Here is an 11,712-nt window from a genome sequence, read left to right as displayed (position 1 = left end):
CCACTTTCCCCTTGTCCAAACACTGTGCCCATAGCAGAAGCCGTTTTTGGTACGTCTGGTCCAGCTGCAGCCTCCCACAGAGCTGGCGCCTGTGGGAGCACCTGGAGCTGTCTATCCCACTGCAGCAAATGGCATGCACAGTGGCCAGACCCTGGACTTTCTCGCTCACACACCCCTCACTGCTCCGACCTGGTTCCTCTTTGGCAGGTGTGTTATCTCGGCCAAGCACAAGCCAAGTACAGCCTGCCAGGCCAAATGGGCAAAATGAGCCCAGTGGGTGTGAGCAAAACTCCAACAGAGATGCTGCTGGCCACAGAGGTTTCTGGCTGGCAAAGCGACACCCAAATGATCTCGTGACATTTCAATATCCTTATATCCAGTTTCTCCTTCAACCTAATCCCACACTTGTTCTAGAATGAACTTTTAAGATTATAATTCTTATCATTATCTGCCATTTTAAAGTCATCCAATGGCTGACCATTACCTTAAGGATAAGTCGAAGAGTATCAGATACGACACAATCTGGCCCCTGATCATATCCTCCATCATCACCTCCTTGTCCCATAAGTACAATTTCCTGAACGTGGTATGCTATCTTTTGCCTCCTTTGTTAGCGCTCCTTAGAATACATTCCTCCTTATTACATAGCTAACTCATTCTCAAATTTCAAGATACCCTCAAGTGAAACTTTCTCTGGAGAGTCTTTACTGGCATTCCTCCAACATGTGAAGGTGTTAGATGGTTCACTTCTAAGTTCCCAACGCACCTTGGGCACTAATCAATCATGGCACTTACTCAACTGTAATATAACTGTAAATTTACATGTTTATCTTTTCCATTAATCTTGAGCTTCTAAAAAGCAGGGACCTACTTCCATCTCCACATCACTGGAACCTAGCACAAAAATTTATTTGCTGAATAGATGAAGAAATAATTTAAGATGACTAAATGAAGAATGAATAAAAGAGTCTATAAGGCAAATAAAACAGAAACCCATACATACAAATACAATTGTTATGTAGACTGCCATCAGAGAAGTTAATTTGTTACACAGTCCCCATAGGTAAAAGAAATATGTAAAGTTTGAGTCTATGTTATACCCACTGCAAAACAGAAATTTATTATAAACAAAACTTATTTTTGTGGGAATATGTTTAGTAGTAAACTTCACCTGCATTTAAAGTGTTTTGATCTTTAAACTAAAAAGCCTTTTAAGAGTGCTGAAGTCCTCAACATTAAATGCTCACTTTTTAAACTCCTGACCATGAGATTCTACTTCTACCCTTTTGATCAACTAATGAGATATCCATTAGAGCCAGATATCTCATGAATAGAAAATGTTGCATACTACCTTCTGGGATTGTTGCAGTAGGCTATCATCAGTGCAAGTGCTATAAAACTTTGGTGTAGAAGTTATGAACTAATCCTAAGTAATACTAAGAGAACACAAATGCAATAGAGAAGAGCATCAATCAGAAGAAAAGGATGTATCTCGCACCCTTTCTATCTCTGGCTAAATGCTACAGCAAGTCTTCTCTGATCTTTTCTATGACCTTTTCAAGTACTAATTATTTTTTTAATGTTCTACGAATACGAATACATGTTTGTCATTGCCCTTCCTATGATGCATTATAAGATATTAGCAAAGCAAAAGAGATTTGATATTGAAGGTTTAACTGCACAACTTTTGCATACACTTTAATAGGCAAGGCAAAACCTTCTCAGCAGGTGCACTATGAGATGAAGTGATTTTCATGAATAATTCATTTTTATTTTTTTTAAAAAAGGTACCTCTGCTAAGATACAAAGTGCAATAATGTTTTTCAAGAGAAATCAGTGAAAATTCGAAGCTGTCATTGCCAATTTGTTTTAGTTCAGATTCAAAAGGTCACCCACTTGACACAATGAAAATGAAAAATGCCCGTTTCTTTTTTTCAAGTCAGCATGCTATGCTCCATATTTTCTATCTAAAATGTTTTTGAAGCCTAAAGAGTAAAGAATTTTATGAGATCTAATAAAAATTTATACTACCACAGAGAAAAAAATTTATAGAACTTCCTTCAAAAATCAATTTCAATAGAATAATATAAAAATGTGGAAATCATCTCAGGATCCTTTGCTGTAAAATGCCTAGAATTTATATTAAAATGCCATCTTACACTATCATGGACCAGGAAGTTCTGTGATTCAAATCATGGCCTGTATAGACTATCATTAAGAATGTTTCCCTTTTTATTTTCTCTGAAAGATAATAACTTCCCATAGAAGCTTTTACATATATTATACCTTTCCATACCCAAGATTATAAGGCAGAGCAGATAATAATGTCATTTTTTAAGATGAGGAAATTGACAACATAAAAAATCCTGAGGCAACACACTCAGAGTCACAAAACTAAGTGGTGAGGTCAAGAACCATGAATACAAAACTTTTATCAAGTGCTATGACTGCCCAGGACACCAGAATTACTATTCCTATGGGGTTTTCATTTAATAGAAAGCACTTTTGAATTGTAGGTAATAGAGTCCATGCTATATGCCAAATGCAATAAGGATATATTCTTTCCAAATTTTAGTTTTAAGAGGCAAAATAAATGAAAATGTAAGACATTCTGAATACATGTATTCTGAATTGTTTACTCCTAAAATATAAAATTTGGATAGATTATATTCCTTATTTAATAATATTAGACTATATTCCTCATATAAGAGAAATTTTCTCCAGAAACACTTTTGTATCAACACTTTTCATCTCAGCTATTACTTAATAACAACATAAAAAATAATCTAAGCCCTAATGGTTTTCTATGAAGCATATCAGCATAGGTCAGAGACCACAAAAGTTAAGGAATCCTTTCCAAGAGATCAAACAAGAGAAAGAACTGACCTTTGTTTTCAACAGAAGAAAAAAAATGGGATATCAAGTAATATGGTAAAACAGGTTCATATCATAATAATCATTATAACCTTACTTAATTGGCTTTATGAAAGCAAGGGTATATGAAATCCTGATGACTTGGAAATGTTTTTAGAAGCTCTGTTCTTCTAGGGATTGGGAGGCTGTGGTGGCTACTGATGCTAACACAAGTGGAAGCAGCAGGAATTGAACTCAGTTCCATTAATTCTCAGTTCCAAATTAGTTTTCAGTTATCAGCAACTTCAAATGATAGTAGTTATCTATCTCCTCCAGAAAGCATTTTCTCCTTTCCTTCAGCTGCAGGTCCTCCATTGAATTATTTTGCTTCATCATTCACATTTCTTACAGCCTCAGAAAGAGAGGATACTTTTCTAACAGTGACCCCCCAGTTTCCTTCTTCCACTTCTAGGGCACCATCAGAGATACCATAAACAAACTTGAAACACACATGCATCACAACATGGCAGAGATCAAAGAAGAAGCAGTCACATGTGAAGAGGAGCAAATTTGAGAGGTATCCTGGCTTAATAACAATGCGCTTTTGGGAATTTACCCATTCCCATGAAAACTAATACAGTCAAGAAAGCAAAAACTCATTCATTACTGTGAGAGTTACACCAAGCCATTCATGAGAGACTTGACCCCTGAACCCAAATACCTTTCACTAGGGCTTACTTCCCAATATTCAACATGAGCTTCGATGGGAACAGACATACCATATGCAAGACATAGTACTGACTAACCATATGCCACTATTATCAACTGACTCTGGTAGTACTTTCTTGTCAATATATCTGAAACTTAAGTGTCAATAGTCTGAAAAGCTATTCTAAGGGCACAATCTGAGTTTTAGACTAGAGTGCTAAGAAAGCACTAAGGCCATACTTTTGAACTCCTTAAAGGAGATCCACAAAGTACCAAAATCTCAATTAGTCTTATAAATAAATGTACCCAAGAACAAGAAAGACTAAGCAAGAGAGTACAGATATAAAGTATTGTTAACCTTCACTGGACAAACACTATATGCCAGAAACTGTGCCAAGCAATGGTGATAGAATGATGAATAGGACAGAAAATGGGAATAACTCCTTCTTTACATAAAGCTTAGAATCTAGCTGAAAATATAGACTATTAATAAAATAATTAAAACAACGTGTAATGAGTGCCTTGATAAAGAAATTAAGAGTGGAACATTTACCAAGATAGGCTATATTGTAAGTCATAAAACACACCTTAACAAATTTCAAAGAATACAAATTATACCAACTATATTCTCAGACCACAGTGAAATTAAACTGGAAATATAACAAAAAGATAGCCAGAAAGTTCCTGAATATTACAAATTAAATGAAACACTTCTAGACAACACATGTGTCAAAGATGAAGTCTTAGAGAAATTTTTAAATATTTGGAACAAAATGAAAATTAAAATACAATTTATAAAAATGTGTGGGAAGAAGTAAAAGCAGTGCTTATAGGGCAATTTATATTATTGAATGCAGCATATATTAGAAAAGAAGAAATATCTATGAACAGTAACCTAAGCCTCCACCTCAGAAAACTAAAGAAAGAAGAGCAATTTAAGTCTGAAGCAAGCAGAAGAAAAGAAATAATAAAAATTAGAACAGAAATCTATTAAATGAAAAAGAAGAAAACAAGAAAAAATTAACAAAAACAAAAGCTAATTTTTGAAAAGATTAATAAAGTCGATATAAACCTTTAGCCAGAGTAACTTGGGGGAAAAAAGGCACAAATTACAAATATCAGTAAGGAAAGACAGGTCATTCCTACTCATGCCATGGACATTAAAATGATAATAAAGAAATAATACATACAATTTTATGTCTGAAAATTTGGTAATGTGGGGAAGTTTAAATTTTCTTTCTGAAGTTTTGATAACTGAGTCTGCTAAGATATGCTAATAAAAGGCAAATTAACAGAGGAAATGGCAAATAAATTTATTAATGTGCAAGTACATAGGAATCACACAAAAGATGAAACTCAAGAAACAGCTAGATGGTTGAAGCTTAAAAATCCTCTTCTTAGTGGGGAAGAAAGTGTGGAATGCAGACAATTTGAAAGGAAGAGTAAATGATTTTTAGGGGAGATGAACGGGCCTGTAGCACAGAAAACAGCCTGGGACAAAGTTCCTCCAGACTGTGTGGGAGGTGGTGACAGTTACGAAAAGGTGAGGGGTAGAACTGCACTACAAACAAAGATTGCCAAACTATGCAGATAAAGTCTCTCAGGTAACAGCCTTCAGAAGAATAGATAAAACATCTGCCTAGGTGGACATGACAATAACCTTTAGTTTCATCTTTTGTGATTCATCTTCCCTGGTTAATGAGATTTCACACAGGGGATTGATTGCCATTGTGTTTGTTTTGAAAGAACTTTCCTTAGTCAAATAAAGGGAATTTCAGACAGACGCCCTGTCTGCACTGGGAAAGAAACAAGGGAAGGTCAGAGAGACATTGATTGTGAGGCAGCTTCAAATGTCTTCCAATTTCTTTTCATTCAAGGTGCTCAGCGTGCCAAAGCACCAAACTATGGTACTCCTAATAGTAACATAAATAAAATGAACAAACTCCTTGAAAGACACAAAATACCAAAACTTATACCAGGAGAAGAGAAAATCTTAGTAGGCCTATATTTATTTTAAAAATTGAAACCATGAGGCCCAAATGATTTCACAAATGATTTCTACCAAACATTGAAGGAAGGCAATGTTTCACAATCCCTTCCAAAAATAGAAACAAAGAGAACACATTCCAATTTATTTTTTAAGACCAGCGTTACCGCATACCAAAATGAGATAACATAGGAAATAAGAACTACACTCCAATATCTCTCATAAACATAGATGCAAAAATCCTCAACAAAATATTAGCATATTGAATCCAACAATATAAAAAAGAATTTACACATTTCAGGTAGAGCTGGTTAACATAACAAAGATTAATCAATGTAATCCACCACATCAATACACTAAAGAAGAAAACTTGTGTTATCATATCAATTAATGCAAAAAAGCATTTGATAAAATTCAACACCCATTCACAATAAATTTAAAAATAAAACTCTCAGCAAATTAGGAATATAAAAAAACTTCCTAAACCTAATAAAGAACATCAACAATTACCTATGGTAATTGTCCAACAGGTTCTTCCTGGCTGCTGCACAAACAATATCAATTTACTGAGACTACAGCATTGGAATAAAGGGTTTAATAGACATGAGGCTGGCCCACCTAGGAGAACTAGAGTTATCACTCAAATCAGTCTTCCTAAAGGCTCAGAAGTTAGGGGTTTTAGGGACAATTTGGTGGGTAGGAAATGGGTGCTGCAGATTGATTTTGGATGAAATCGTAGGGGTGTGGAAAATGGTCCTCATGCACTAAGTCTCCTCTGTATGGGGCCACAGGATCAGTTGAGTCATGAGCCACAAGTCTGGGTGGAGTCAGTCTGAAAAACATCTCGATAAACCCAATCAGGTTCTATAATAGTGATGTTATCTATAGGAGCATTTGGGGAAGTCACAAATCTTATGACCTCTGGCCACATGACTCCTGAGTCGTAATGGGTCATAGAAACTATGTAGATAGAGTTCAAGACCTTCTCATAATCCTAACTGTCAGGCCTCTGAGCCCAAGCCAAGCCATCACATCCCCTGTGACTTGCATGTATACGCCCAGATGGCCTGAAGTAACTGAAGAATCACAGAAGAAGTGAATATGCCCTGCCCCACCTTAACTGATGACATTCCACCACAAAAGAAGTGAAAATGGCCAGTCCTTGCCTTAAGTGATGACATTACCTTGTGAAAGTCCTCTTCCTGGCTCATCCTGGCTCAAAAAGCTCCCCCACTGAGCACCTTGCGACCCCTACTCCTGCCTGCCAGAGAACAAACCCTCTTTGGCTGTAATTTTTCTTTACCTGCCCAAATCTTATAAAACGGCCCCACCCCTATCTCCCTTCGCTGACTCTCTTTTTGGACTCAGCCGGCCTGCACCCAGGTGATTAAAAGCTTTATTGTTCACACAAAGCCTGTTTGGTGGTCTCTTCACACGGACACCCATGAAACTAACCTTGTGGATTTTCATTAGTTTTACAAACATGTTTAATTTTGGGAAGAGTTATTATCATCTTTGTTTTAAAGTCAAACTATAAACTAAATTCCTCCCAAAGCTAGCTTTGGGAATGGCCAAGGACAGCTTGGAGGTCAGAAGCAAGATGGAGTCTACTATGTCAGATTCACTTAATGTCAGAATTTTGTAAAGGCAGTTTCACTATAACTAACATCATACTTAATAATGATAAAAAGGACCCTTTACAAGTATTGTCGAAAATAAAGCAAGGATGTCTGCCTTCATCATTCTGATCTAACATTATACTATAAGTACTAGTTAGTACAATAAGAAAGGGAAGTAAAACAAGAAAGGGAAGTAAAAGAAAAACAGATTGGAAAGGAAGAAATAAAACTATCTTAATTCCTATATGAAATGATTATGAAGAAAATAGTCCAAAGAATCAACCAAAAAATTCCTGGATCTAATAAATGAGTATAGCAAAGTATCAGAATAGAAGGTTAATGTACAAAAGTCAATTGCTATTCTATATACCAGCAATGAACAATAGGAATTTTTTTTAAAATACCGTTTGTAATAGCACCCAATAACAGGTAAAATAATCAGGTATATCTAATGGAAATGTACAGAATACATGTGCAGGAAAGAAAATCTGATGAAAGAAATCAAAGGAAGCTCTAATGGACAGATATTCCATGTTCATGGATTGAAAGACTCAATATCGTTAAAATGTTAGTTCTTCCCAATTTGATCTATAGATTAAATGCAATCCCAAGCATAATCTCAATAAGCTCTTCTGTAGTTGTAGATACACTTACTCTAAACTTTAAATGAAGAGGGAAAAGATCCAGAATACAATGCAATGCTGAAGAAAAACCAAGTTGGAAGACTCATACTACCCATTTCAAGACCTACTATAAAGCCACAGTAAGAAAGACAGCATGGCACTGGAAAGAGAGTACACTGAATGGAATAGAATAGAAAGCCCAAGAATAGACCTATGCAGGTACAATCAACTGATCTTTGACAAAAGATCAAGGGTAATTCAATGAAGAAAGGAGAGTCTATTCAACAAATGGTGCTGAAAACAATGAGACATTTATATGCAAACAAAAAGGAGAAAGAATCTAGACACAGACTTTAGACCTTTCACAAAAGTTAACTCCAAATGAATAATGGATCTAAATGTAAAATGCAAACTATAAAACGTCAAGAAGAAAACACAGGATATATAGAAATTTAGGTGACCTTGGGTTTGATGAAGACTTTATATACCATACCAAAACCATGATCCATTAAAAAAATTAAGTTGGTCTTTGTCAAAATTTAAAACATCTACTCTATGATAAAAACTATTATAAAAATGAAAAGAAAAACACAGACTGTTAGGAAATATTTTCAAAAACACATATCTATTAAAGAATTTCTATCCAAAATATACAAACAACTCTAAAACTTAATAAGAAAACAAACAAACAAATTAAAAAATAGGGGAAGAATCTGACTAGACACTTTACCAAAGAGGATGTTGTTGGAGTTCATGAAAGATACTGCAAAGTATGGCATTTTGAAATGCTGAGCACTTTGAATTAAAGAGAATTAAAAGGCCTTAAAAGCATCCTCAGAGCCAAGGACTTTTTGACCTTCTCTTGATATCTACCCCCAAGCAAGCAATAGAACTGTATGCAAAGTTCACTTATCTGAGGCTCCTCCAGAAGGAAGATAATTGCCTTTGATCTCTTCCCTAAACTCTTACTAACCAGGGAAGATTAAACTCATATTGCAGAAAGGATGACAGAGGAATGTCACTATACCTAGGCAGACTTTGTCACAAGCTATTGTCTGTTCTTCAGTACCATTCAATTTCTAAAGAGAATCATTTATAAACTATTGTCTGCTCTTTGAGTCTATTAAACTCTCCTAAAAATCATTTAATACCCCTCAAAATTGCCTACATTCCCCCATGTCACTCTCCTCTATGAAGAGGGTGCTATTTAAGCTTCAGCCATTTGATCCTTCTTTGTGTCTCATATTTTGGTGGTCTGGTGCATATTAATAAATTTGTGTGCCCTTCCTCATGTTAATCTATCCTTGTCCATTTATTTCATCAAATTCTAATCTTCAGAGAGAGAGGAAAACTCTCTTTGCCCCTACAATATATAGATGGCAAACAAGCATATGAGAAGAGTCTCAATACTATTTGTCTTTAGGGAATTGCAAATTAAAACAACATGTGATAGAGCTCAGGACATATTACTCCAAAATATGACCGTAGGTAACCAGAATATGTCCCTTTGGCATACTCATTATTTTGGATTGGTTATGTTGAAAAACTGCAGACATGGGAGTAGCTATGAAAATTTGCTCTTTCGTAAGAGAAACTTATCTCTAGAAAGAAAATCTCTATTTATAAGGGTGTCTTCCTCTCTGCAGCAGGAAGAGAATGATAACTAAATCACCAGAGACTTAACCAATAGAGACAGCATATGCTTACATCTGTACAATAAATCTTACCTTTGTTTTATGGTGCTTTTCCTGGCAATCTCCTCTTAACTGAGCCTTTCCTCACAAACTTTTTTGTTTCACAGGAAGTGATACTAAAGCCTAAAGCTTAAATGCACTTTTGAGTTTACTCTGGCGATTTACTCATTTCTCTGGGTTTTCTCCCAGAGAAATCAACATATATACAGGCAGTATATATGTTGATAAAATTCTGTTTTTCTCCTGTTAATCTCTGTTTTGCTACAGTGAGTTCCAGTTAAGAACTATAAAGTGTGGAGAGAAAATTATTTTTCATACAAATGAAATACCACTACATAATTTTTAGAAGTTAAATCCAAAAATTGACAATGCCAATTGCTGTCAAGGGTGCAGAGCAACAGGAGCTTTCATTCATTGCTGGTGGGGATGCAAAGTGGTATACTTTGGAAGATAGTTTTGATGCAGGGCAGAAGATGCCCAAAATTTGGGTTTAGCCCAGGAAGGTTTCTGGCTTCACTCAGGACAGAATTCGAGGGTAGGTTGGTAGTAACAGAAAACAGCTTTTTATTGAGGCAGCAGTGTTACTGCTGTGTGACTGCTCTTGCAGAGAAGGGCTACCCCATAGACAGTATGATGAGATTAGCAGTTCAGGGGCATTTATACCCACTTATAATTATGTGTAAATTAAGGGCCAGGTCATTCAGAAATTTCTAGAAAAGGGGCAGTAACTTCCAGGTGTTGCCATGGAAAAGGGTGTTAAGGTCTTGGTGTTGCCATGGCAATGGTAAACTGTCATGGTGCTGACAGGTGTGTCTTATAGATTCTCTTTGGCCAAGGTACTTAGAGTTAAAAGACTTTTAGCCAATTAAACATTCTAGGCCAATGGAGATGAGGAGGCACTCAGTAGCCCTTAAAATATTTTTGAGTCAAAAACTAAAAGACAAAAATAAGATTATATATCAGTAAAAACCAAGATTATAGAATCAAGCTATATTGGGGGGAAACATTGCTCCCAAAGACCTCTGAGACAAAACACTTTAGCATCAAGCCACAATTTTAGTCAGAATCAGAAGAGAAAAACTCACTGGAGATGATGAAAAAGGAGACAGCCGTTATTCCAGGCCTTCTTAAAGGGAGATAAACTTGGAAGTAAAACAATAGTTGAATATGTTAGACATTAATCTGAGAAGTTTTAAAAGAAATTGGTTATAGTTCTAACAGCAAAATTTCCTCTAATTTAGGAAATCAATACCTTAAGAAAGCCTGGTTCTAATATGGAGGCCATTTTCTAGAAAGTCTACCGCAAATAATTCTTCTTTAATCATAGCAAGCTTAATCCTAAACAAAATTACTTTTATAAATTCCCCTTCACAAGCCTTATCCTCACTTACGCAGACCAGCTACATTATGCTTGGACTTTCTGACTTGTCCTACATTTTCTACCTTCTTCTTAAATAGCCAATCATATTACCCTAGGACCAGGATTTACTATTCAAAATCCTTTCTCATATAAAATTACCCTTTTTTTACATTCTTCCTAGCCAAAAAAAAAATGCACTTTCTATCCATAACATTCTTTACATCTGTTTTCTACTAATTGGTTCCCTCATATTTTGAAACTCCCTTTTAATAATTTCCAAACTGACATATATATATTTATTTTTTTTCTTTTCCCAATAGACAGTACAATTTTTGGTATATTTTCTATAAACCTAGAAAGCAAGAAATCCTGAATTGCCCACCAGACATTGACATTTTATAGATGAGAACCATTTCACAATTTAAGATTTTTAACTACACAAAGCTCACTATTTAAGGCCATTTTAACCATTCTAAAGCCTATGGACATCAATTTATTATAAAGTTACATTTGAGAAGACACAACATTATTTTCAAACTAAAACGTTTAAACTAGCCTTATTTGTTTAATTTATGAGTGAGTTTATAAACCAATTTGGTTTATAAACCAATTTGATAGCATCCTAGACATAACACCCATCACAATACCTGTATATACACATAAACAAACATATCAAACAAAGTGACCTACACAATACAACTGGATCCAAGTTGTTTACAAAATTGGAACCTGTCTACCTGGCCAAATTTTGTTTGCCCCAATAGGTATGGAAAACAGAAAGAGTCAGGGAAGAGGATCCCATAGCATTAAGTAAGGAAGGGAGGGGGCAAAGTATATTACTCAAAGGGAGATCCTGGAATCCCTAAAC

General features: G+C 35.5%; 1 annotated feature.

The window, feature by feature from the left end:
• Positions 4,855 to 5,695: an enhancer, noted in NCBI's record as "OCT4-NANOG hESC enhancer chr5:96735958-96736798 (GRCh37/hg19 assembly coordinates)". NCBI's record gives its function as "activates a minimal SCP1, AML or CMV promoter by ChIP-STARR-seq in naive and primed H9 embryonic stem cells {active_cell/tissue: H9 hESC(naive and primed)}" and the evidence as "EXISTENCE:reporter gene assay evidence [ECO:0000049][PMID:30033119]".

Source organism: Homo sapiens, chromosome 5, assembly GCF_000001405.40.
Source record: "Homo sapiens chromosome 5, GRCh38.p14 Primary Assembly".
NCBI lineage: Eukaryota > Metazoa > Chordata > Mammalia > Primates > Hominidae > Homo > Homo sapiens.
The sequence above is the reverse complement of the archived record's forward strand: the minus strand, read 5'-3'. Positions and strand labels throughout refer to the sequence as shown.